This window comes from Homo sapiens, chromosome 12 (genome assembly GCF_000001405.40).
Source record: "Homo sapiens chromosome 12, GRCh38.p14 Primary Assembly".
Classification (NCBI taxonomy): domain Eukaryota; kingdom Metazoa; phylum Chordata; class Mammalia; order Primates; family Hominidae; genus Homo; species Homo sapiens.
In genome coordinates this window covers 124,540,323-124,565,715 of record NC_000012.12, presented here as the reverse complement: position 1 = coordinate 124,565,715, position 25,393 = coordinate 124,540,323, and the positions used below count along the sequence as shown (strand labels likewise).

The 25,393-nt window shown below is 55.9% G+C and overlaps 1 protein-coding gene across 3 annotated transcripts in view, besides 10 other annotated features; it reads left to right on the top strand.

Annotated features, from left to right (window-relative positions):
* Positions 1-25,393, top strand: part of NCOR2 (nuclear receptor corepressor 2) — a 243,198-nt gene that overhangs the window by 1,897 nt on the left and 215,908 nt on the right. The window lies entirely within an intron of this gene.
* Positions 4,859-5,153: a silencer, noted in NCBI's record as "tiled region #1212; HepG2 Repressive non-DNase unmatched - State 19:H4K20". NCBI's record gives its function as "represses a minimal TATA promoter and a strong SV40 promoter by Sharpr-MPRA in HepG2 cells {active_cell/tissue: HepG2}" and the evidence as "EXISTENCE:reporter gene assay evidence [ECO:0000049][PMID:27701403]".
* Positions 6,982-7,741: an enhancer, noted in NCBI's record as "H3K4me1 hESC enhancer chr12:125042521-125043280 (GRCh37/hg19 assembly coordinates)". NCBI's record gives its function as "activates a minimal SCP1, AML or CMV promoter by ChIP-STARR-seq in naive H9 embryonic stem cells {active_cell/tissue: H9 hESC(naive)}" and the evidence as "EXISTENCE:reporter gene assay evidence [ECO:0000049][PMID:30033119]".
* Positions 9,260-10,017: an enhancer, noted in NCBI's record as "H3K4me1 hESC enhancer chr12:125040245-125041002 (GRCh37/hg19 assembly coordinates)". NCBI's record gives its function as "activates a minimal SCP1, AML or CMV promoter by ChIP-STARR-seq in primed H9 embryonic stem cells {active_cell/tissue: H9 hESC(primed)}" and the evidence as "EXISTENCE:reporter gene assay evidence [ECO:0000049][PMID:30033119]".
* Positions 13,637-14,455: an enhancer, noted in NCBI's record as "H3K27ac-H3K4me1 hESC enhancer chr12:125035807-125036625 (GRCh37/hg19 assembly coordinates)". NCBI's record gives its function as "activates a minimal SCP1, AML or CMV promoter by ChIP-STARR-seq in primed H9 embryonic stem cells {active_cell/tissue: H9 hESC(primed)}" and the evidence as "EXISTENCE:reporter gene assay evidence [ECO:0000049][PMID:30033119]".
* Positions 13,637-14,533: a biological region, named in NCBI's record as "H3K27ac-H3K4me1 hESC enhancer GRCh37_chr12:125035807-125036625".
* Positions 13,759-14,053: an enhancer, noted in NCBI's record as "tiled region #979; K562 Activating DNase unmatched - State 5:Enh". NCBI's record gives its function as "activates a minimal TATA promoter and a strong SV40 promoter by Sharpr-MPRA in K562 cells {active_cell/tissue: K562}" and the evidence as "EXISTENCE:reporter gene assay evidence [ECO:0000049][PMID:27701403]".
* Positions 14,239-14,533: a silencer, noted in NCBI's record as "tiled region #4202; K562 Repressive DNase matched - State 5:Enh". NCBI's record gives its function as "represses a minimal TATA promoter and a strong SV40 promoter by Sharpr-MPRA in K562 cells {active_cell/tissue: K562}" and the evidence as "EXISTENCE:reporter gene assay evidence [ECO:0000049][PMID:27701403]".
* Positions 16,417-16,656: an enhancer, noted in NCBI's record as "active region_7292". NCBI's record gives its function as "activates an Ori minimal core promoter by ATAC-STARR-seq in GM12878 lymphoblastoid cells {active_cell/tissue: GM12878}" and the evidence as "EXISTENCE:reporter gene assay evidence [ECO:0000049][PMID:35858748]".
* Positions 21,142-21,676: an enhancer, noted in NCBI's record as "H3K27ac-H3K4me1 hESC enhancer chr12:125028586-125029120 (GRCh37/hg19 assembly coordinates)". NCBI's record gives its function as "activates a minimal SCP1, AML or CMV promoter by ChIP-STARR-seq in primed H9 embryonic stem cells {active_cell/tissue: H9 hESC(primed)}" and the evidence as "EXISTENCE:reporter gene assay evidence [ECO:0000049][PMID:30033119]".
* Positions 22,745-23,278: an enhancer, noted in NCBI's record as "H3K27ac-H3K4me1 hESC enhancer chr12:125026984-125027517 (GRCh37/hg19 assembly coordinates)". NCBI's record gives its function as "activates a minimal SCP1, AML or CMV promoter by ChIP-STARR-seq in primed H9 embryonic stem cells {active_cell/tissue: H9 hESC(primed)}" and the evidence as "EXISTENCE:reporter gene assay evidence [ECO:0000049][PMID:30033119]".

The following is a 25,393-nucleotide window of genomic DNA, read 5'->3' as shown; positions in this document are numbered from 1 at the left end:
AGAGCTGACCGTCCGGCCATAAGAATCCCTTGGTACTTGTATGTGTTACTATGACTACTGTGTCGGTATTATTATTCCTGGGTTCTAAGATTGGGCCTTTAATCCAACGTGGTCTGGAAGCCCTGTGAAAAGGGGCCACCTTACCTTTGGCTGGGGGTGGACAGTGGGGGGATCTGGGGGAGGGAGGGGGCCTTTTCCCACTCCCCTCTGCTTGTCCGGAGAGGATGGAGAAGGGCAGGTGCCCCCGCCCATTGAACAGATGCAAAGACTGAGTCAGGCCCAGCAGAGCAATGAAGGGGGGGTGGAGCCAGCGGTGACTGGCGAGTCGGCAGCGCGGCTGCCAGGGCATCCCGGGCTCTGTCTGGCTTCCCTGAGCCGCCTGCCGTGTCCCTGCTTGGAAATTCACTGCTGCCACCGCCAGCGGGTGCCGGGGGAGTCTGTGGTGCCGGTGCCCAGACATGGGGGCGGGAGCGCAGCAGGCCCCAGCCCTGGCCTCTTCCCACTGAGCTATTTACGCTGCTGGGGATCAATACTATTGATAAATCCATGTAAATGGTAATGTGGCTGTCAGGCCCTGGTGAGGGATGGAGACCCCTCCTGGGGCTGCGCTCTCCCCCTCCCCCTCTCGGAGAGGGTTTGGTTATGTGGGAAGGATTTATTTGGCATAATCTGTTCTTTTTCCCCAATTAATAATACTCATGCCACCTCCTAAAGATTTCCCAGAGCTCTGCAAACACGAATTTACTGCATGGAAGCCCTGGGCTGGGGACGGCTTGATTGTTCTCGGGGCCTGGGGGTGGGGGGCAGGGGGCGCTGGCAGCGCAGACACCCACCGAGGGAGTTGGAAGCTAGCCCCAGGAGTCCTGGCCCCCAGCGTCTGCCATTCATGCTGGATGTGGAGGCTGCCTGGCCCCGTTTCCCCCTGGCTGAGAGGGGGCGCATTCATAGTTCTGTGTTCCCAACCCCCATCTGAGAGTGTGGGTGGAGAAGTTGGTGCTTCACTCGGAGATGGGAGGCGGGGGTGGTACCTACGCAGAACCCAGCCGGAGGGTTCTCCTGGGGTCCTGTCTGTGGGAAGGGAGATTTTAAGGCAGAGGAGACAGGCTCTCAGCCCCTCCTCCTGCCGCTGTCTGAACTGAAAAGCCCCACAAATGCTGCCTCTGACCGTGGGCCGGGGGTGGGGGTGGGGGTGGGGTGGCGGGGGTTGAGAGCTTTTATTTGTGTGTGTGTGTTTTCCCTTCCCTGTTTCCTCTTCACATCTCAAACGCTAAACAGCAGCCTCCCCAGGTGACACTTTTGAGACTGGGGAACTGCCGGTGGGAGCTGGTAACTCCTGCCTGAGGTGCCCAGGGGAGGGGCAAGGAGGGCCCCAAGCTTGAGCTGCTGCCTGGGGAGAGCCAGGTTTTTTAGGCCCAGGCCAAGGGTGACAGAAGGTCTGTGTCCCTAGGTGGGTGCGTGTGGTCCCCAGGGAAGTGATGCTTGGGAAAGGCCAGCTGGGCATCTTTTGAGGGAGCTTGGAGCCAGGGAACTGACTTTACAACCCATCCGGCGAACTCTCAGCCTCCATGTTGGAAAAGGCTGTGGATCATACGCTAGTAATAAGAACCAACACCTACTGTGTGCCAGGAACCGTGCTCTACGCAAATCTGCTTGTTTACTCTTCATAACTCCTCTATGAGTTGGTGCTTTTATTATCTTATTTTATAGATGGTGAACTTGAGGCACAGAGAGGTTAAGTAACTTGCCCAAGGTCACACAGCTTGGATGTGGAACTACGAATTAAGACCTGGGATTATTCACGGTCGTGTTAGTGCAGCAGGAATTTACTGCAGACCTGCTTTGCAAAGCTGCCGTAGAGGATATGAAGAAAGAAATGATGTTTCTTCTTTGAGCAGCACCTACGGATCTTTGCCCCAGGTGGGGCAGGAGACTGAGAACTCGTTCTCCCCAGGGTTTGGGGAGAAGGATAGGGCCTGGCATTTCTTTGAGGTCTCATTTTATCTGAAACATTCATGCAAATTTGGCATTCGCCTTGGCGACACTGCTGTGTTTGTTTTGAAATGAAAACATGGTTTTGAATTATTTAGCATGGTGCTCCAGAAAGCTGCAGCGGCAGAGTTCTGTGGCCTGGAGTGCCCATAGGCTGGGCGCGTTGCCCTCGGGTACTGTGTAGCCGGAGGGCTTCTGCTCAGTGAGGCCCTGGGGCAGATGGCGGCTTCATTCCCATTTTACAGATGAGGGCACAGGTCCAGGCTCGCCTGAGGTTGCACAGCGGAGGGACCTGTGCTTATGATGAATGAACTTAGCATCATTGTTATTATCATGTCTATTTTGGAGCAGAGTGAGGCTTCTGAGCCTGGACACTTCCACACTGCCCTGCCCACTTGGCTCCAGCTAGCCTTGAGGAAGGAGCTTTTGGTTTATAAATCTAGAAAGAATTGTCCTAACCAGATATTAGAGGACAATCTCGGAGTGTTTCATCTGCCATCCCCAAGAGAGCCGCTGATTTAGCATTGGAAGTTCCAGCTTGGCCATTTACAAGCAGTGGGCCCAGGTGAGTGCCCCTTGCTCTCAGGGTTTGGGTGCCCTCATCTGCAAAATGGGCACATTGCCGGCCACCTGTGCCATATTGGAGAGCCTTTAGGGGCAAAGGGCATGAATATTGGGTTTGCTGTTCAGCTCTGCAGCTTCAAGCTGTGAATGAGTTACTTACCTATTGTGAGCCTCAGTTTGCTCATCTCTAAAATGGGGGTGCTGCTGCTGCTTCTGACTTTATGGTTGTGAGATATAATGAGCTCCTGTGTGTCGCAGGACACACAGGAGCTGCAGTTTCCATTTTGGCTTATCCTGTTGGAGAGCAAAGACTTCACTATAGAATTCCTTGTGTAAACCCGGGTCCTCACCTACAGGCTGCTCGGATATCAACCATTCCTCCCTCTTAAAAGCTGCTGGGAAAGATCCTCTGATGGACCTGTCTCTTTTCCAGAGCCCCAGGCTTCGGCTTGTTGCCCTTTGGAGACGGTGGGCTCCTTTCCCGTTGGTCGTTGGTGTTTCACAAATGTGCTCAGCTCCCTGCCTCTGCCCTTGACGGTTGAGGTTTTCCATTAGTCTTTAATCACTTAGTGTCTGTCAGGCACTTGGAGTGCTTGGAGGTCATGGGCAGCCCGGAGAGTGGGCGAAGGCTGTGGGGAGGACGGGGTGGGGGAGGCCCCCTGGGGGAGGGCTGAGCTTCCCCTCTGCTCCTGGTCTCTGAAAAAAGGAGCAGGGTTTGAATCGTGCTTCCATTTGTTAAGAACTTGAGTGAAGCCTCTGACCTTCTGGCCTTGGTTTCTTGATTCTTAAAAGGGAGGGAAAGAAAATAATGCCCGCCTTAGAGGGTAGCCTGAGACGGGCTGTCTGGGAACTCCTGCGGTGATGGGAGATGATACGGCTGCGCTGTCCCGTGCTTTAGCCACTAGGTGCCTGTCACTCGGGAGCACTTGAAAAGTGGGTCCCTGCCACTGAGCAGCTGAACTGGTCATTTTATTTAATTTTAATTTACTTAAATTTAAACAGCCACCTGTGGCTGTGGCTAATGGCTACTTAACCCGAGGGCACAGGGTTGGGTGATGAAGTCATATTCTGTGTTTCGGAGCAGGGCCTGGGCTCTTGGTATCTGATTCCTTCCCCAATGCCCCACCTGCACCCCAACTTTTTTTCTGAGGTAGGGTCTTGCTCTGTCACCAAGGCTGGAGTGCAGTGGTACCATCACAGCTCATTACAGCCATGAACTCCTGGGCTCAAATTAACCTCCCGCCTCAGCCTCCCAAATAGCTGAGACGACAGGTGTACACCACCATGACTGGCTAATTTTAAAATTTTTTGTAGAGATGGAGTCTCTCTATGTTGCCCAGGCTGCTCTTGAACTCCTGGGCTCAAGTGATCCTCCCGCCTCAGCCTCCCAAAGCACTGTGATTCTAGGCGTGAGCCACTGCGTCTGGCCTGATTTTTTTCCCTTTTCATGCGTGTTTTCTCTGCGTGGTGCCATCCTGGAGGGTCTTCCCCTTTCAGTGGTCCTTTTTCCCAAACCTAGCCTGGTGTGCCCTCTGGGCTGGTCCGTTCTCCCTGCCGTCTGTCTCCCTCCTCTTCCCACATCTCACTCTTTCTTCCCCCACTTCCTCTCCCACCGGCCTCTGGGGTAGCGCTGTCCAATAGAACTTTCTGCATTGGTGAGAATGTTCTAGATATGCCAGTACCATAACTAACAGCCACGTGGGGCATTGGGTATTAAAACTGCCCAAAGCTGTTGGGGGAGTCTCCTTCCATTCTGGCCCTCCTGGTTTCTGTTCCCCAAGGCAGTCACGGCTTGAAGTGAGGCCAGTGCCACAACCGGGGGATGAAATTTTAGTTTTTACTTTTAATAAATTTGAGTAGCCACTTGTGGCTGGTGGCCACTGACCCTACGGGGCAGTGCAGCCATAGTGACTCCTACTATACGGAGCCGTCTTCCCACATCCTTCCTTAGCTGTCACTTCTCCTGGAGCAGGAGACAGCTCCAGGTCCCTGCGAAGTGTGGGCAGTTCTTACCTCCTGGGGCTGAGCTCATGTGGAAAAACCTTTGTGCAGGTTCATGGGGGCTGACCCAGCCGGACCCGGAGGAATCCTAGGTTAGCACCCTTGCTGGTATCTGTCTGCACAAGCAGATACCTGCAAAAGACACCTATCTGCTTTCTCTAAGTGGGATCATACTTATTTTGTTATGATATGACTTAATACATCATGGACTTCTTTGATGAACATTTTTGGGGATAATGTTGCTTTTTATACTTCTTGGGGAGAATGTAGAAAAACAAAAAGTAATGCATTCAAAACTCTGCCAGTTGCTTTGGGCTTTATAAAAGCTTATTTTTTAAATGAAAGAAAATGCATTGACTTGTAAAAAAGAAAATTAACACATTGCGTAAAAGTCTCCCTCGGTTCCTGGCCTCCCAGTTTCTGTTCCCCGAGGCAGTCACAGCTTCCCGCGCCTGAGTTTCCTCCGAGATGCTCTTGGCATATGTCGGCCTTAAATGGACTGTATGTGTGCGTTCCCTTTAAAAACAAACATGCAAGTGGTATCACGCCATATATTCAGGTTTGATTTTCGCCGTCATAGTCACATCCTACGTGATAATATGTTTCGGAGCCGATTGTGGAACGTAGAAAGCAAGAGTTGGCAAACTATGGCCCTTGGGCCAAATCCGGCCAGCCCACCACCTGTTTCTGTATGGTGCACAAGCTGAGAATGGTTTCTCCATTTTTTAATGGTTGAAAAAAATCGAAAGAAGAATAATATTTTATGACATGTGAAATCATATGAAATGCAAATTTCGGTGTCCATAAATAAAGTTTTGTTGGAATGCAGCCACGCTCACTCATTTACATGTTGTCTGTGGCTGCTTTTGGGTACAGCGTTTGCAAAGTTGAGTAGTTGTGACAGAGGCTGGAAGGCCTACAGAACCTAAAATATTTACTCTCTGGCCCTTTGCAGAAGATATTTGCCGATCCCTAATATACTACCTCACTGTTTTGAACCTCAGTGTAGCCTTGCACGGTTTCCCTGTTGAGGAAACTGTGGCCCAGAGAGGGGTGTGAGTTTGAAGGTCATTCCAGGTAGGCCCTAAAACCCCTCCTTCTAGCCTGGGCTCCTGTTCTTGCTGAGTTACGCTGATGCTCATGGTTATAATTTGCTGTTGTAGAATGCAGTAGGAAAGAGGGGATGGTTAAGGCAGCAAGCACTTGGCCTGATTTTTGGCACAATTTTTTGGCCTCTTAATTGGTGACTTTAGAGTGGTATATAGTTGCTGTAGCACCTACTCTGTGGCACTGCGTCGTTTTCACAATTTTCCAAAGCCGTAATCCATCTTGTTTCCCTCTTTGCTTTGGCTACTAGGAAGCTCAGAGCCAAATTTTGCAGCCTGCTTTCTGCAATCACTGGTTTATGTTTTGGCTTTATCTACTTCATCCTGATTTTGGATTTGTTTGTCTCTCATTTTTTTTCCCTTTGCCCTGAGCTTGCTCTCTGATTTTTATCTTACCTTACACATTCCTGAGAGTTGTCTCAGTTCTTGAGGGGCAGAATGGATCAGGCAGGAGCCGAGCAAAGGAAAACACTTGTTGCAAGATGCTTTCATGCACCATCCCCTGCACCAGCATTCCATAGGAGGAAACCAGAGGCTGGCCCTGTGGAGTGTCTTAACCAAGGTCAGACCCTGGGTGAGAACTGAGCACGGTTTTGGGGTCCGACTTGGGAAGATGACGGTGAGTGACTTGGATGGTGAAAGATGTCCCATTTGAGAACCGGATGGGGCCCTCGAGAACTGCTTGGCCTGAGGGAATGCCCTGGAGGTGGGGGGCTCAGCACTGTGGTACCCGGAGACCTCGGGATTGTTTTGGAGGCAATATTGCAAGTGCGTCTGAAGCCAAGGGACCTCTGGGCCATCTGGTTCCAACCTGGACTTGTGGCTGATGCTTCAGGTCCCCTGCTTCTCCTGCTGGCCTTTCTTTGCATCTGGAAAGGAAGTGGGGGGAAAGGTAAGTCAAAGGGTGGGCTGTTGGAGGTGGAATTGGACCAGACCCGGGTGACCAGTCACCACTGGCCTGCATGTGTCTGTGCGTATGTGCCTGCAGGCCGGGTGGCTCCTGGGGGTCAGTCTTTTCTGGGGTCCGGAGGCCCTCTCCGCCTCTTGTCTCCCAGGGTTCACTTGGTTTTCCGTGGCCTATATTTGCATTTTAGGGCTGATGAGTGGATCTGGGGGGACCCACAGGTCTGAGTGACATGGCCTTGGGCAATAATAAAGGCTCCACGCGGAGTTCCTCAGTTTCCCTGGCGGTGAAATGGGGTGATGAGTGACACGTGGCTCACAGGCTGTGAAGTGAAGGGCATTCAGGGGCCCGTTGGGGTGCAATTGTCCCTGCAGACCGTGTCGTAGCCCCTCTCCCTCCTGACTGTGACTCGTGGGCCCACGGCACTGACCCCAGGGTCAGGGAGGTGGACCCAGCAGTCTCCTTGCCATTGCTCAGGGATGTCCCAAAGGGACCTCGGATCCCACCTATGCAAAAGTGGATCATTGACCCCCGCATCCCCCAGGCCCCTGTTCTGGGCGTCCTTCTGGAGTGAGAGACGTGGTCCCAGCCACCTCTCGATGGCCCACCTGGGACTGCAGCCGCCTCCTGCCTGCTCTCTGGCTGTCATCCTGTACCCACAGTCCCCTCTCTGCAGGCAGCCCAGTGGAGCCACAGCAGCTAGAGTGACTTGACCTCATCAGCCTGCAGGGCTTCCCACCATTTCTTGAACAAAAATCAGAATCCTTCTTACAGCCAAGGAGGCCTGCACGCCCCCCATCTGCCCACCTGTGGCCTCCCCTTGGCTCGCTCCCCACAATTCTGTGGTGGGGCTGGGGAGACCTTGGGCCAGGTCTGGAGGGGGGGTGGGTGGGAGAGTTGATTTTTCTTTGTGACCCAGGGGATCTGTCTGGGGATGCTCTGAAGTCGTTAGTCCCAGAGGCCCAGACCCACAGGGGAGGGCCTCGAAGGACTCTGTTTGTCCTCACATTGAACTCTGCGGTACCTGCTGAGACCATCAGGGAGCATGGGCCCCAGTGTGGCTATAGTGTCTCGGTGACCATGGGAACCTGCCTGGTGCCAGCCCTGCTCCTGAAGCTAAAGAGGAGAGCCTGCCGGGTGGGGTTGGGGCCGGATGCAGCTCCAGGCCCTGGCCTGGGCTTTTCCCTAGGCTGGGCCAGGCCTGTCAGCATGGGGGCCTGCAGGGGATGTCGCCCTCTGGAGCCTGGCAGGAGTCAGGGGGCCTTTCCTGGGTCCTGGGGGCTTGGCCAGGTCCACAGGGTCAGGATTTGGGAGGAATTCTGTGTGGCGGTGGCTCCTGGGTGATGCCCACTGCTGGGTAAACCAGGGGAGGAAGGCAAGCGGGAGAAGTTGGGAGACACCTGCTTTAACCTGCCATCCCGCCCACCCACGCCATCTGCCACCCTCCTGGATATTTTTATTTTCGCATCGTCTGCCACTATCATCCCCTGGCCTAGGCTGCTGCATGTTGTTGGACAGTGCCTGTGCCACCTTCCCACCCATTCACGTCCCTCCTGGAACCTCAGGCTGTGACCTTATTTGGAAACAAGGTCTTTGTGGATGCGTTTAATTAAGAAGAGGTCATCCTGGAGCAGGGTGGGCCCTAAATCCAGTGGCCCGTGTCCTTATAAGAGGACAAAAAGACACAGAGGAGAAGGCCGTGCGATAATGGAGGCAGAGGCTGGAGCGATGTGGCTGGAAGCCAAGAAGTGCCAGGGACTGCTGGGAGGAAGGCTCAGGACAGACTCCCCCGCAGAGCCTCCAGAAGGAACCACCCCTGCCAACACCTTGATTTTGAACCTCTGGCCTCCCGAACTGTGACAAAGTAACAGTGGGTTGTTTTAAGTCCCCGGCGTGTGGAGCTTTGTTTACAGCAGTTCTAGGAAGGGAACACAGCTCCCATCACAGCTGGCTCTTCACTGGTCACCCTGAGACCCATCCCCCACGTGGCAGCCAGGGGGAGGCCTGTAAAACCCAGGGCAGGAAAACCCAGGGCAGGACAGTCCCGCTGCTGCTCTGAAAGCTGATTCCCTACCTGGGCCGTGAGGCTCTACCCTCTGCCCCGGCGTGGGCCGTCCTCTGCGACCTGCTCCCCTTGCCCGCTCTGTCTCAGCCACACCGGCCTCGCTGTTTCTCCTGAAATGCACCAGGCAGCTTCCGCCACGGGGCCTTTGCACTCACCCTGCCGGAGCACTCTTTCCTGGTATCCGCAGGCCTCGTCTCATTCCTTTGCCATTTTTCTCGGATTTTTTTTTTTTTTTTGAGACAAAGAGTCTTGCTCTGTTGCCCAGGCTGGAAGTACAGTGGCATGATCTCCATGCACCGCAACCTCTGCCTCCTGAGTTGAAGCGATTCTCCTGCCTCAGCCACCTGAGTAACGGATTATAGGCGCACATGGCTAATTTTTGTATTTTTAGTAGAGATGGGGTTTTGCCATGTTGGCCAGGCTGGTCTCAAACTCCTGACCTCAGGTGATCCACCTGCCTCGGCCTCCCAAAGTGCTGGGATTACAGGCGTGAGCCACCACGCCTGGCCTGATATTTTCATATTGAAAATTGCACCCTCTCCCCTCCCTCCCTCGGTTGTTTCCCAGTGTGCCACCTTCTGATAGATGATGGTTTCACACGTTTGTCATCTTGCTGTTGTCTGTCATCCCTGCGAGAATGGACGTTCCACAAGGGTGGAGACGTCTGTCTGTGTCCCAGGTTCTAGAGCAGTGCTGGGCACACTGTGGGTGCCTCGTAGATGTGTTGAGTGTTGGGCTCTGGCTGGGCATGGCCTTGCCTCGTGCCCTGGTGCCCGTTGGGAGTCCCAGGTTGTCCATCCATCCCTGTGACTGACACCTGTACCCTCCCTCACCTGTGGCCCCCTCCTGCTCCCGCAGAGCCTCCAGGTCACTGAGCCTGTGGCCATTCCCTCTCTGTCCCTCCCTTGGTGGCCGTGACCACCCCTTGCTAGCACTGAGCTTGGCCTCTGAGCTCCACGGGTGAACATAAGCCCACAGAGAGGCCCAGAGTGGCCAGGGTGTGGGAGAACCACGTTTTGCCTAATTCAGCCTTCACGCCTCCATTTCGCCATCTATAAAATGGGCATAATCAGATTCCTCGTCTCTCGAGGTTGTCTTGAGCGTTATGGGAGGTCCTACATGAAGGTGCTTATTGCCTGACGCTGGGAGCACAGAGAAGCCTTCCATGTGGGCTGGGCCAGTGCTTACTGTTTTCAGTTTGCCGTGTGGGTGTTCCCTTTGCCAATTTTTGGAGGAAGTTGGGGCATCACAACCAGGCGACCCCAGGGACCGGGGAGGGACTTTAAACCCGAGTTCCCATGGATGGGTGGCCCGAGACGGATCCTTCCTGGCCCTTGCTCCTCTCCCCAAGGAACCAAGTTCTGGGGGGTCCAAACCCACTGCAGCTTTCTGGGCGGATTCCCGGGGCCAGCAAGACTTGTCTGCTGTTTGGCAAGATAGGAGACCCTGGTGAACTCTGGGAATGGTGGGGGGCCCCTCTGCGTTTCTTCAGCAGAGTTCTTTCTGTCACTTTGTGCTCGTTTCCGCATCTGTAGAATGGGGGTAACTGCAGTCCCTGGTGCGTAGGGGAGTGGACGCTTGGGGGGACTGCTGTGGCGATGACACCCGAGCATGTATACATCCTGCGGACGTTGTCACAGCTGTCTGTGCCCTGGGGCTGGGTCGGGATGCCCCCGTGCCTGCCACTTGCTCGGGCTCCCTGGGCTTTGTGAGCTGTGCACACACTGGAGGGTATAGTAGGGAGAGCTGCTTCTGCAGGTGTCCTGGTGCAGGGGTGCCCCCTGCCCCAGCGTTGCTGTCTGGTGTCTGAGCAGGGAGGGGCAGAGGTGAGGGTGCTCCAGAGAGGGCCCTGAGCTGGTAGGATGCAGGCAAGCTCGCTTGGCACCACATGGGTTAGCTCATCTAAGCTTCACAATAACCCGGTGTGGCCAGAACTATTAGTTTCCCTGTTTACAGATGGGGACACTGAGGCACAGAGTGGTGATATCATTGGCTCAGGACACACAGCTCCTAAGCTCCTTGCTTGGTGGGCAGCTGTCATGGGCAGGGCCCATTGTGTGCTTTCATCCCTTTCCCCTGGACTGTGGTCCTCAGGAGTGACCAGGGACAGTCCTGGGTCCACCACGTGCCCAATCCTGGACATCAAAGCCCACGTCTCTGCCCTGACCCAACCCATTCCCCTCCGGGTCACCCTCGAAGGCTCCCAGGCTGCGGCCAGCTCTGCTGTGCAGGAAGCTGACCCTGTCTGTCTTGGCTTCTCCCTGCTCAGCTATAAATAGCAGCTGTAGCGGCGGGCAGGAAGCTGCATCTCCCGGCACCTGGGCCCTGGGCGCTGCCCCCTTGCCGCAGCGGCACCTCCCGGAACTGTGCGGCCCTCAGTGGGAACGTGGAAGGTGGAAGCGTGCTGCGCATCGGGTGTGTGCTCTCTGGTTTGCTGTGTGACCTTCAGGCTCTCGCTGCCCTCTCTGTGTCACAGCCCCCGTCCGTGGGTCCAGGCCGCCTCTGTGCTCGCGGTGCTGTAAGGAGTGCCTGGGGGTGCTTGGAGGTGCGGAGGGCACAGCATGAGGTTTGACATTGAGAAGGGGGCGCCTGGCTTTTGCCTTGGAGAGAGGGGAGTTGAGTGGGAGGGGGCACCGAGGGAACCTGGGGAGGGGAGCTTCCCAGAGGAGATATTCCCTGTCTGGATGCCCAGCTGGGTGGTGGGAGGCTGGAGGGCCATGACGATGTGGAACTGCCTGGAGGGCCCCAGACTGGGAGGTGGGCCATGGGGAGGGCACGGAGCCTTGGACACCCATCCCCACTGCCAGATTGCTGTGTGATTTTTTGCACAGCGTCTCTGGGACCTGTGAAATGGGAGTGATGCCACCTCGCGGCACCTCTGGCAGGAAAGAGACGCAAAAGGGCTTTGAAGCAAGGAAGGCGTTTTGTCGTGCCCTCGGTCATCTTTAAGCATCAGGAGGGTTCACGCTGCTCACGCCATTATGTGCTTATGGGGCAGGGCTCACCCTGTTCCTTTTTGGCCTGCCCCGGGGCCCTGGCTCCTGAGTGGGGGTTTGTGAGAGCGTAGTCACCAGGAGCTGCAGGGGAGGGTGCTGACCATGCCAAGGACATCCTGAGCAGCTTTGGGTGGCCTCTGGTTCCCCAGCTCCCCCACTCCCCATTTTGAGGGACACCAGCTGCGGAGTGGGGGCGCATGCAGCTCGGGCTCTTGGACGTCTCCTCCCGTGGGTGCCCCACAGCAGCTCAGCTCTACCCTGCAAAGCCTTCTGCAACCTGGCATGCAGGGACGTGAGGAAGCGTAGGTTTCAGCAGTGGGGGGATTTCTTATGGATCTTACTAGAGCATGGGCTGTACAATCGGGCCATTTGTGACTGGTCAGAAAAAAAACGTTGCTCAAAAGTATTGATAAGTTCTTTGTTGTTAATCTAGAGAGGGAAGTCTCTAGTGTTAGGCCACAGGGCTCTGTCTGATCACGTTTTCATCAGATGCTGGACTCTGCACTGCTGGGGACGTGTATTCACGTACAGGTGCTGGCACTGGTCATGCTCACCCATGCTGTGTAGCAGTGGAGAGACTGAGGCACGTGGACCCTGGGGAATCGCCTGTTGGGAGTTCAGAATCTGTGGGGTGGGGCCTTGGGAGTTCCCTAGAGGCCTAAAGATTTTTGTTTTTGAAGCCTGTGTTAAGCTGAGTAATGGTCCCCCGAACGATGTCCTAATTCTCAGAAGCTGTGAATATATTATTTTATGCTGCAAAGGGGATTTAAGGTGGCAGATGGAATTAAGGCTGCTAACCAGCTGACCTTGAGATGGGAGATTATCCTAGATTATCTGCCCGGGCTGGAGGTAATCACAGTGGTCTTTATAAGAAGGAGGCAGGAGGTCAGAGAGATTTGAAGATGCTGCGTTGCTGGCTTTGAGGATGGAGAAGGGGCCATTAGCCAAGGAGTGCAGGCAGCCGCTAGAAGCCATAAAGGGTGATGGACAGGTTCTCCCCTAGAGTCTCCAGACTGGATGCAGCCTACCGACACCTTGAATTTAGCTCTGTTAGATCCATTTCAGACCTTGGATCTCCAAAACTGTAAGGTAATAAACTTATGCTGGCTGGGCACGGTGGCTCACGCCTGTAATCCCCAGCACTTTGTGAGGCTGAGGTGGGAGGATCGCTTGAGGCCAGGAGTTCAAGACCAGCCTGGGGAACACAGTGGGACCCCCTGTCTCTATAAAAAACATAGAAAACTAGCTGGGCATGGTACCTGTGGTCCCAGCTAATCAGGGGACTGAGATGGGAGGGTCACTTGAGCTCTGGAGTTGGAGGCTGCAGTGAGCTGTGATCATGCCACTGCACTCCAGCCCGGGTGACCAAGTGAGACCCTGTCTCAAAAAACCAAAAAACCTCCTAACCCCCCCGAAAAAACTTGTGCTGTTTTAAGTCACCGAGTTTGTGGTCATTGTTACAGAGGATGCTTGCTGCCCCCACAGAGCCTGTGATTTCCCTGTGAACCAGCAACCGGGAACAGGGCCGTGGGTGATGTGGTCATGGAGACAATGGCTGCGTTCCTACCATTGGTGACCTTGGAATTAAGTGACCCCTCAGTTTCTTGACCTTGACCTGGGGGCTGTGGCTGAAGAGCACAGAGTGAAGAGAGAAACCTGCAAACGGTAAAGGGCTGTGCTAGTGAAAAGCAAAATGTAAAAGAAACACACAGAGGCAGAGAGACATTTGTGCTTTCTTTATTCTTTTCTCTTCTTTAGTGGTTTTTTTTTTTGAGACAGGGTCTTGCTCTGTTGCCCAAGCTGGAGTCCAGCTCCATTCGCAGCTCACTGCAGCCTCGACCTCCCAGGCTCAAGCAATCCTCCCATCTCAGCCTCCTGAGTAGCTGGGACTACAGGCACATGTCACCATGCTCTGCCAGTTGTTTTGATTTTTAGTAGAGATGAGGTGTCATTATGTTGCCCGGGCTGGTCTTGAACTCCTGAGCTCAGGAGATCCTCCTGCCTTGGCCTCCCAGAGTGCTGTGGTTACAGGTGTGAGCCACTGCACCCAGCCCCTTTTTACTTTTTCTTTTTTTTTAATCCCTTAAGTCCAGCTGGAGTACCTGGTCCCAATGGTTGACCAGAAAATAAATAAGTCCCCAGCATGTCTCATGACAAGCCACAGTTGATTTCTCCCGGCTGGGTCTCCCATGTGGGCTCTTGGAGCCGCGGCCTTTCCCAAGGGGCGGGTGTTCCGGATTCTCAGAACAGCAGGGCACATGCTGCTGCCTTCCAGCTTATTAAAAAGAGGAAGAAAACGGCCCGCGCCTCCTTCCCCCAGGCCTCTGGGCCTGCATGCAGAAACCTGAAGCCTGCAATTAAGTGAAACTCGATCCTTAGTGGGGAGAGGTTCTCCTGGGCTGCTGGAAGAGACTCCAGGTCCCAGACCCCGAGGAGGACCACTGGCTTGTCACAGACTATGTGGGGTCTTGGGGGCAAAGAGGCGGCCAGGGGAGAGAGGAGAGAGGGAGACCAGGCCGGCCGAGCCTTAGCCCAGGACACCAGACTCGGGGCTGTAAGCTAAGGTGGCTTTTGTTAAAAGAGAAAAAAATGACAGGTGACTTTCAAGTCACGGGAGCCCCCTTCCTGGAGGCCACCGCCTCTCACTGGGGCCTGGGCTTTTCCACGAGCCTCTGTGTATCGCTGCACGGCCTGGGAACCTGCCTTGTCTGTGGACACGTGGATCTGTGCGCGCTGCTCTCCTGTTTGCTACTGGGGGAGCCGTATGACTGCTAGTTTTGTAGGTCAAAAGTGGTCGAGTATTGACAGCTTTGTATATAATTCAGTGCAGTCGTTTTCTCGGCTAGACAAGCGGCAGACCTGAGTGGTTCCAGACACTTTGTTCTCATGCACCTTATCACATGACTCTGCCTCAGTTTCCTAATATGTAAAATGAGGACCTAAGCAGTCCTCACCTTCTAGGGTTGTTTTGAGAATTAGAAGGGTAATAGACACAGCATCCAGAACCGTGGCATTAGCTATCATTATTTTTATCTGTATGATTACAGGTTTTCACCATGTGCTGGTGCAAACCAGCTTTGATCCAGTTGGCTAATTTTAACTTCTTGTAGTATTTTGTCATGGGGATGTGACGTGAGCTTGGTGTGTTTCCTGGAGAAAGCTACTTGGTGCTTGCCATGGGAAGGGGCTGCCGGGGACTTTCTAGAGAGCACCTCTGGGTGCCTGGGTGCCGTGGCCAGTGGATTTGCCAGCTCTGGGCTTCTCCTGGTGATGCCAGGGGTGCTCCACGGGGGCTTTGCTGGGTCAGCCCTCTCTCCATTGAGGTGTGGGCCCCCCTGCCAGGTCCTAGTGGAGCCACCCAGGGCCAGGCTGGGCATGTGGTTTGGCAGCTGCTTTACATAAAAGACTGTTTTTGGTTTTTGGAAGCAGAACAAATGTGTTCTCTATAAGCTGGAAAATCAGGAAGGAAAAGCTTGCACATAAAAAATACAACCACGTTCCTACCCCCCAGAGAGAGACTGCCAGCCTCCTGGCCAATGTAGTTTCTGATGAAAAGGAACAGAGCTGTCCTCCCCCCCGTTCACCATCCTCCCCCTGCCAGTGGCTGCTGGGGGAAGGAGCTATGAGATATACAGATTGTGGAGCCCCCACTCTAGACCCAGTAGGTTAGACTCCTGAAGGATGGGGCAGGTATTTGGCAGCTGGGGTGGGGCTGTGAGTCAGTGGGACCTGGGTTCAGGTCCCGCCTCTGCCTTCCTTCCATTAGGTGGGGCAGGAAGCCTTGCCTCTCTGAGCCCTGTGACCTCGTCTTCTTGAATGTGTCCTGCAGGGAGGCCCTGCACACAGTGGGTGCCCAACTGACACTCTCATGCATTTGGTAAGAACGGCAGGGTTCTCAGCCTGGGCACTGTTCGGGTTTTGGGGGTTGGGTCACTCTCTGTTGCAGGGGCTGCTCTGGGCAACACCCCTGCTTCCATCCACCAGACCCCAGTAGCACCTCAGCCCCCTTTGCTGCCGCCAGAAATGCCTCCAGACATTGCCTGCGGTCCTCTGGGGGTCACAGTCACTCCCGCCAGACCCCTGCGATACAGGATCTTAGAGAGGGACCTCAGGAGGGGAGAAAGGTCCTGCGAAGGAGTTTTCCTCGGAGCTTGCGCCCAGCATGTAGATTTTGTTCATTCACATACTTGCCATAAGTACCTAGCGTGTACTTCCCCTAGGCAGGCGTGACACTCTGCCCATCCACCCCTGCCTTCCCAGTGGGATAGGGTGGTGACTCAAGGCCCCGTTCCTGCCGCCCTCTCTCCCTCCGTGAAACGTGATAAGGTTATCTTGAGGGGTTGCTGGTGATACGGCGAGGCGCTCTGTCACCTTCAGGCGGGCTGTTTTCTTTCTGGGCCTCGGTTTCCCCATCTGGAGAAGGGTGTTCGTAATAGCATTTACCTCCTGGGTTGCAGTGGGGAGTCAGGAGTCACTGTGGCTGTGATGATGAGCCCATGATGTGTGACCGCTTCTGTCCTGGGGCTCCCTCAGCCCGCTGTGCCCCGGCGCTGGGGCAGAAGCCCTTGGTACCTTCTCTGTGCCTGGCCTCGCGGGTGGGGGTTTCTACTGCAGGGGGCTCAGTTGCCTTCCTCCCCAGGCCCCCAAGGAGCCAGCTCAGCAGAGATCCCTAGGGGGATTAAGTGGGTTCATTTGATCCCGAACGTGAACCTGAGCAGGCGGCTTATCTCCTCGAAAGCCAGACGGGCAGTGGGCCACCCGGCCAAGCGGGGAGTGTGGGATTTTATCCTCCAGCCGCGGCCCTGCCCCTCCCACCGCCAGCCCCTCAGCTGCGTGCCTGCCTGTCTCAGTGCGGCACATGCCACGTGAATTCATCTGATCCTCTCGGTGATCTCGTGACCCAGCAACCATCATCATTGCCAGGCAAGCAGCGAAGGCTCAGAGAGGTTAGCTCCCTGGCTCAGCGCCACACTGCATCCCAACCACCCTGACAATATTTACCCCATAGACTTGGGAAATCCCCTCTACTCCTGGGCAATGAAATTCCTCCTTAATACAGACTAGACTCGACACAGAATTAACAACAACAGCAAAAATCTGTGCGGTGCCCCAACCGTCGGGTAAGGGGAAGCGGGGAAACGAGAGGGAGGAGTGGCTGGCTCCCACTCAGAATGAGTAAGCGTGGATTCGCGAGAAAGCAGATCAGAGCCCTGCAGTGCTGGGGGGAGAGGAGAGTGACATTTAAGAAACAGCTAGTATTTGGACTGGTTCTGGCAGGTTTTTTTGAATGGCCAGGTCATTTGAAAACTGTGTAGGGAGGGTGACTTTTATGGAGTAGGACTGTCCCAAAGGCCATGAGCCAGTCATGGGGCAGCCAAAAACATCCCTGGGGTGGGGACCCTGCCATGGAGATCCCCCGCCCCGCCCTAACAGCACAGAAAAAAATAACAGGAACAGTAAAGATAATATGCTGTTATTGTGAGATGGAATAATAATAAACAGTAACTATGTTTGGGGGGGAACAGCATTGCCATCGAGACCCTCTGTTTTCATATCAATAATAATGACAAAAAGAAAAGAATGGCAGACCAGGCACCATGATGGACCCCCACTCTGTCGCCGTCTGGCTTGGACGACTGCAGTAGCCTCTTCGGGGTCCCCAGTCCACTCTGGTCACACCTGTCTGGTCTCTGAGTTGCAGCCAGAGGGATCCCATCAGAAGGTCCATGAGACTCTGGCCCCACACTCTCCATTCTCTTCCCACTGCTCTGAGAATAAATTCAGAGGCCACCCGGGAGCTCCTCAGCCCTCACCGACCGCATCTGCCTCTGGGCCTTCGCGTTTGTTGTTCCCCCCACCTGGAATGCTGTTCCCTGCATATTGACACAGCTGGCTCCTTGCTGCCATTCAGGTCCCAGCTCAGTGCACGTTTAGGAGGCCTGATGTGATGTGGAGGAGAGTTAGAGTGGAGGAGAGGTCCCATAGGAGGGGACCTGCCCGGCCTGGGGCACCCCAGGCCCCTCTCTCCCACCAGCTGGCTCCTTCACCAGATTCCACATCATCATAGTTCTTATGGTTATTTTATAACCTTACAAGTTTTAGAATTATATCTCATTCTGTATGTGTATTTATATATATGTTGTTATATATATGAATATGTATTCTTTATAACACACTTTTCTCATATAAAAATATATGATTGGTCTCTCCATACAATGGAATATTATTCAGCCATGAAAAGGAATGAAGTACGGATGCATGCTACACTGCGGGTGAACCTTGAAACCATGATGCTGAGTGAAAGAAGCCAGACACACAAGGCCACATAGTGTACGATTCCACTTTCATGAAATGCCCAGAACAGGCAAACCCATGGAGACAGAAAGCAGATTGGTGGTTGCCAGAGGCTGGAAGGAGGGGACCTGGGGAGAACCTACTCCATGTTGATGGGGTCTCCTTTTAGAGTGATGAAAATGTTTTGGAATTAGATAGAGGTGATGGTCGCACAGCACTGGGAATGTCCTAAATGTCAGAGCTGCCTACTTTATAGTGGTTAATTTTATGTAATGTGAATTTCTTCTCCATTTGAAAAATGTGGGAACTAAAAAAATGGAGTAGTCCCCCCTTAATCTTGGGGGATATATTCTAAGACCCCCAGTGGATGCCTGAAGCTGCAGACAGTATGGAACCCTATATACACTCCATCTTTTCCTACACATACAGACCTATGACAAGGTTTTCTTTACAAATTAGGCACAGTGAGAGATTAACAACCATAACTAATAATAAAATAGGACAGGCCAGGTGTGGTGGCTCATGCCTGTAACCCCAGCACTTCGGGAAGCCAAGGTGGGTGGATCTCTTGAGGCCAGGAGTTCGAGACCAGCCTGGCCAACATGGTGAAACCCCGTCTCTACTAAAAATACAACAAAATGTAGCCAGTCGTGGTGGCGAGTGCCTGTAATCCCAGTTACTCAGGAGGGTGAGGCAGGAGAATCACTTGAACTTGGGAGGTCGAGGTTGCAGTGAGCCGAGATTGCACCATTGCACTCCAGCCTGGGCGACAGAGCGAGACTCCATCTCAAAAAAAATAAAAATAAATAAAATATTATAAAAAGACAATGTTAACGGTATGCTAGCATCACTACTCTTGTGCTTTGGGGCCATTGTTCAGTCAGATAAGGGCTACTTGAATACAGGCACTGCTCTACCATCACAGTTGATCTGATTCCCGGGATGGACACTCACAGGCAGGACCGTCTGCAGAGTGGGTCCTCCCGGGCAGAGGGAGGGGTCATGTCCTGGGCTGGACAGGACGCGACGGTGCAAGATCTCATCATGCTACTTAGAACAGCGTGCAATTTAAAACTTAGGAATTGGCTGGGCGCGGTGGCTCATGCCTGTAACCCCAGCACTTTGAAAGGCCAAGGTGGGTGGATCTCGAGGCCAGGAGTTTGAGACCAGCCTGGCCAACATGGTGAAACCCTGACTATACTAAAAATACAAAAATTAGCTGAGCGTGATGGCAGACGCCTGTAATCCCAGATACTCAGGAGGCTGAGGCAGGATAATCACTTGAACCCAGGAGGTGGAGGCGGAGGCTGCAGTGAGCTGAGGTCACACCACTGCACTCCAGCCTGTATAACAGAGTGAGAAAAACAAAACAAAACAAAAACCCAAAACCCAAAAACTTACGAATTGTTTATTTGTGGAATTTTCCGTTTGTTTTCAGACCACCATACTGAAACTGTGGAAAGCTGCCGTGGCTAAGCAGGAACTGCTGTACATATTTATTAAGCCCTTACTGTATGCTGGGCATTCACTCTTACTGTAGGCAGGCATTCGCTCACTGAGCCTCTGAGTCAGCCCTGTGAGCTGAGTTTCTATTTTACGGCGAGGAAACAGGCAGGCTCGGAAGGGTTAAGCCACGTGCCCAGGGTCACAGAGCTAGAAAGCAGTGCAGCTAGGTTTTGAACCCGGGTCTCAGACCCTATCCTGAGATCACGAGACCTGTGCTCTGTGGCCTTGCTGCAGGCTGAGCCCTGCAGGGAGCAGAAACAGCCTGTGCCTGGGATGGGTCTCTCCTGCCTGTCTATGCTTCACCTATGCATACCCCTGAACTGCTGCCCCAGGTAATGTGTGGCTTTGCATGTGTCCTGGGTGACACGGAGACTCTGAGGTGGGGCCAGTTCACAGCTCTGCCTGTGTGCATGGAACTTTGCTCATCTGCCGGGCCCAGAGAGGGTCCCCAGGCTGAAAGGCTGTTCCACGCCACTCGTCCCCCACCCCCACCCTCACCCTGACCACAGAAGCAAGAACTTCCCAGCACGGGGCGGCGCAGGGAAGCAGCGTGGCTCACTCTGTGGAGTATGTGGGGCCACTGGGCTGTTTCAGTTTCTGCTGCGTTTCTTGCTCTGACTCAGGGCCCTGACCCCAGCCGGGCCACTTGGGCTTCTGAACGCCTGCTGGGCTGAGCTGAGCTCACCGGTACATGAGAAAGATCCCGGGCTGAGCTGCCCTTGCCTGGCGTCTTTGGGCCTTGGTTTTCCCATCTGTGTGGTGGGGGCTTCGAGGGTCCCCGTGTGTCGGTGGGTTGGTGTGGAGGGATTGGGTGTGGACACCAGGGGCTGAAAGCTGATGGGGACCCATGGGGAAACCTGTGCCTCGGACCCCTCCAGACCAGAGGCTCCTGCAGAGCCCTGCCCATGGAAGATCTGGGTCAGGGGCTGCCTTGTCTCTGGGTGCTTCTGTTGTCACTGGCCTCTGGCCCCAGCCTGGTGGTCACCAAAGCCTATGTTTCCCCTGGGCCTGCTGCGGAGGTGGGAGGCAGGGAAGGTGGGCTCTTATCCAGTCCTCTCATCGTGGCCCTCCGAGACTCTGCTCCCTCCCCCTGGGCCCCGCTTCTGGGTGTTCGAGGTGCTGGGGACATTGGTGTCTCAGTAGGGTTGCAGGCTGGCAAGGGGCCCTGGGGAGGTGGCCTGGTGAACCCCGATGGTGAGCTTCAACTGAGCACTGCTGGGTGCCAGGTTGTAAATTTCTCTTCAGAGTAGCCCCTGGCATCATCCCCGTTTTACAGATGGGCACACTGAGGTTCCGAGAAGCAAGGCACCTTCCTCAGGCTTTAAAAAATGACAGCACTAGGGCTGGAGCGGGAGCCAGCCTGATTTTAGCCACCTAATATAATTGCCTCCGTTTCACCGAGAGGAAACTGCCTCTGCGAAGTTGAGCAGCACACACAGGGGTCGCAGTCTCCTGCCAAGATGAGATGGCTCAGGGATTTGATCTGGGTCTCAGGCCCATTTGGGGCCCACCGGGGACTCTGTATGTCAGCCCCACTTGTGCCTGGCTGTCCCCTCCTGTGTGTGGGCACCGGCTGAATGGTGGAAGCAGGTCCCTCCTGGGAGCAGGTCACGGGTGCTGGGGCTGCATCCCTGACCTACCCTGGGCCCGGGCGGGTGTGGAGGCAGAGGAGGATGTCCTGGGGGTTTGAGTGGGGGCGGAGCCTGCTTGTGAGGTGGAAGGTGGGGCAACTGAATCAGTGTGGGCCACCCTCCCACCCTGAATATCCCCAGGCCCTCGTGACAAATCTCTTTCACCATCTCTTGACCCAGCAATTAATTGCTTCTGGCGGATGGTGCCCCCGCCCTCCAGGGAGCTTCTAAAGGCCAGACCCTGCTCCTGGGCGGGCAGCCCGGGGCAGAGGCTGGGGAGAGTCTGCAGTGGTTTTTCTGTTCAGCTGCAGATTCAGGGGTCCCCAGGCCAGGCAGCCTCTCTGGGAGAAGCCAGCAGCTGACATTTTGGGGTACTTGCTCTGCCTATCTGTGGGGCTAAACCTGAGTTCATCTACAGCATACTGTGAGGCAGGTGTTGTGATGTTCCTCTTTTACAGACAGGGTCACTGCGGGGCATAGAGAGGTTTCCCGAAGCTTCCATCTCATCCAGCAGTCTCCAGTGCACCCTTTCCATTCATCTCCCTCCCCGCTGGGGCTCCCCGGGCAGGGGGTGCCGGGCAGAGGCGGCGTCGCTGGTGCTGACTGACGCTGAGTGTGGATCCCAGTCCTGGGAACTCTCTGGGAGGGCTTTCTTGCCTCACTGCCTCCATCTGCACAGGGGGAGGATGTGGGGCGGTTGTTAAGAATTAAACGAGTTAATCATCGTAAGGGGCTTAGCATTGTGCGGAGGCAGCGAAACCCTGAGCTTCAGGCACCGAGGGGCTGTCGGTGCCTGTGAGGGTGAGGGGGCTGGACAGACAGGTGGACGGACAGCTGGCCTTTCCGTGCTGCCGCGTGGGGCCTCCGCGGCCTCCCGGCCTGGGCTGCGCTCCCTGCCCTGTCGTGGCCCGTGCTTGGCCATGAGCCAGGCTGCTGCCACCCCGACAGAGCCCGCGTCCCCCTTCCCTCCCAAAAGCGGTCGATACCCCGGCTCCTTCCTGGCCTCTAATTGCTCCTGCCGGCTGCTGTCTCTGATGGCGGCCCCACACCCCGCAGCGAGGAGAGGGGCGGCGAGGTTTCTGGGAAGCCTAGTCCCTGCTAAATCCACGGCGCTGTCGGGGTGGAGAATGGAGTGGCCGAGGGCAGAGGGTCAGATGCTCGGGGTCCCGTCTCCCCGCCCCTCACTGGCTGTGTGACCTGGGGCAGGTAACCCCGTGTGGGTCTGTTTCCCCACCCCTGAAACAGGGTCCGGACAGTGGAGATGCACGTGGCCTGGCAGGAAGTGAGGGCTGTTATTATTGTGATGATCGTTGTCATGGTTTTTTGCAGCGGCTCCTCCCCAGTCGCTATGCCCGGTGTCAGTGCAGCCTTCCTTGTTGGGAGCAGACAGGTGGCCCTGGGGCTGGGGCGCGTTCCTGGGCAGGGCACGGGGTTGCTCCTCAGTCCCCCTCTGGACGGGGCTGCGGCCCATCCCCACCTCCCTACTGATCCCATTGCAGGCCCTGATCACTCACATCCATGCTGCCAGCCCCCTTGGCCTTGGTCTGGTGGCCCTTGCCCTAGCTGGTGGAGGAGGGATGGGAGGGAGAGAGGCTGTGACCCCCATCTTCGCCCACCCACCCGCCCTTGGCTGTTGCAGTCCAGTGGGGACTGAGACCTTGGTGAACTCTGGGTGGCTGCCTCTGCAGATTCCAGGAGGGCTGGCACGGGGCAGGCTGCCTCAGCTGTCCCTGGAGAAGGAAAACATATCCCGGCGGCTTCTCAATGGAAGGGCTGCGGAGCCTGCCTCCCTCCCGCTCTGGCTGTCTGGACTGCTGGCTACCACAGGGACGGGGACCAGGTGACACCACTGCAGGAGACAGGGGAGGCTCCTTGTTCACCCCGTGTGGGAAGATGTATCCGGTGGACCCCGGCCGGCCCTGGGAGGGCGGTGAGCCGCCTCCATGTCTCACGGCACCTAGGTTGTGCTGTGCTGGAAGTCCCCAAACTCCAGCCTGCAGGGAAGGCTTCTGGGAGTCATGCCTGCCCCTTGGGGGCCAGGGTCTGATCTGTGGGTCTGCGGGGTCCAGTTTAGAGCTTCTGCGGAGCACGCCCCGAGGCTGGCTCATGCTGGCCTGGCAGGTTCCTAGGGCCTGGGACGGGCGCTGAGGGTCTTGGCCTCGGTGCCCAGGGCAGAGGTGGCCTGGAGTGGAGCCTGGGCTGCTGTCGCCCACCTCGCCCATCTCTGTGGGCCCTGTGGGTGCTCAATCAACACCCGTCCTTCTCCCTTCTGGAAGATGTCCCTCATGTGGCCCTGCCAAGGGTGTGGCTGTTGTGGCCGGTGTGGCCGCTGGTCAGGGGAGGCTGGGCTGAGAGGGAGGATTTATACTGAGCCCTGGGCTTGAGTAATCATGGGTCCTGGAGGCACAGGAGCCCCGAGGCAATGGCCCGCCCTGTTCCTGTGGCTGCTGCAGGTCTGGTGGGAAAGGCTCCAGAGTCCAGACACCAAGCCCTTGCCCAGCATTGAGGCTGGAGCCCCACAGTTCTGATCCTCCATGCAGGAAGAGGCTGAGGCTGGGTCTGGGAGGGCAAGAGGTCGATGCCTCCATGGAGCCCTCAGGGATTGACCCAAAGGTGTCCTCGCTGGCCCTGCCCCACACTGTTCCTACTCAGTTATGTGTTCCACTGGAGCACGTGGCTCCCCTCCTGTGGCCAGGAACACAGCCCCCATCCCCTTCCAGCTCTCCACTCCCCATCCCCCTCCAACTCTCCACCCCCTCCCCCTCCAGCTCTCCACTCCCCACCCCCTCCATCTCCACTCCCCACCCCCTCCATCTCCACTCCCCATCCCCCTCCATCTCCACTCCCCATCCCCCTCCATATCCACCCCCATCCCCCTCCATATCCACCCCCATCCCCCTCCATCTCCACTCCCCATCTCCCTCCAGTTCCACTCCCCATCCCCCTCCAGCTCTCCACTCCCCACCCCCTCCATCTCTACTCTCCATCCCCTTCCATCCTCACCCCCATCCCCCTCCAGCTCCATCCCCACCCCCCCACCATCTCCACTCCCCACCTGCTCCATCTCCACTTCCCATCCCCTTCAATCTCCACTCCTCATACCCCTCCATCACCACTCCCCTTCCCTCTCCATCTCCACTCCCCACCCCTCCATCTCCTCCTCCATCCCCTTCCATCTCCACTCCCCGTCCCCCTCCAGCTCTCCACTCCCCATCCCCCTCTAGCTCTCCACTCCCCACCCCATCCAGCTCCACTCCCCATCCTCCTCCAGCTCTCCACTTCCCATCCCCCTCCAGCTCTCCACTTCCCATCCCCTCCATCTCCACTCCCCATCCCCCTCCAGCTCTTCACTCCCCATCCCCCTCCATCTCCCCCATCCCCCTCTAGCTCTCCACCCCCAGCCACTTCCATCTTCTCTCCCCATCTCCCTCCATCTCCACCTCCATCCCCCTCCATCACTGCTCCCCATCCCCCTCCATCTCCACTCCCCATCTCCCTCCAGCTCTCCACTCCCCATCCCCCTCCAGCTCTTCACTCCCCATCCCCCTCCAGCTCTCCACTCAATCCCCCTCCATCTCCACTCCCCACCCCCTCCATCTCCACTCCCCATCCCCCTTCATCTCCACCCCATCCCCCTCCATCTCCATTCCCCATCTTCCTCTAGCTCTTCACCCCAGATCCCCCTCCAGCTCTCTACTCCCCATCCCCCTCCATCTCCACTCCCCATCCCCCTCCAGCTCTCCACTCCCCACCCCCCTCCAGCTCTCCACTCTCCAGCCCCCTCCATCTCCACTCTCCATCCCCTTCCATCTCCACCCCCATCCCCCTCCAGCTCTTCACTCCCCATTCCCCTCCATATCCACCCCTCCACCTCCCATCCCCCTCCAGCTCTCCACCCCCATCCCCCTCCATCTCCCCACTCCCCATCCCCCTCCATCTCTCCACTCCCCACCCCCCTCCATCTCCACCCCCATCTCCCTCCAGCTCTTCACTCCCCATCCCCCTCCAGTCCACTCCCCACCCCCCTCTAGCTCTCCACCTCCCACCCCCTCTAGTTCTCCACCCCATCCCCCTCCAGCTCTTCACTCCCCATCCCCCTGCATATCCTCCTCCCATCCCCCTCCATCTCCACCCCCATCCCCCCATCTCCACTCCCATCCCCCTCCAGCTCCACTCCCCATCCCCCTCCAGCTCTCCACCTCCATCCCCCTCCAGCTCTACTCCCCAACCCTCTCCAGTTCTCCACTCCCCAGCCCTCTGGCTGCCCCAGCTTCTCTAACCCTCTGATCTGGTTCTTGCCCCTGGGCCTTTGCACAGGCTGTGCCTTCTGCCTGGAG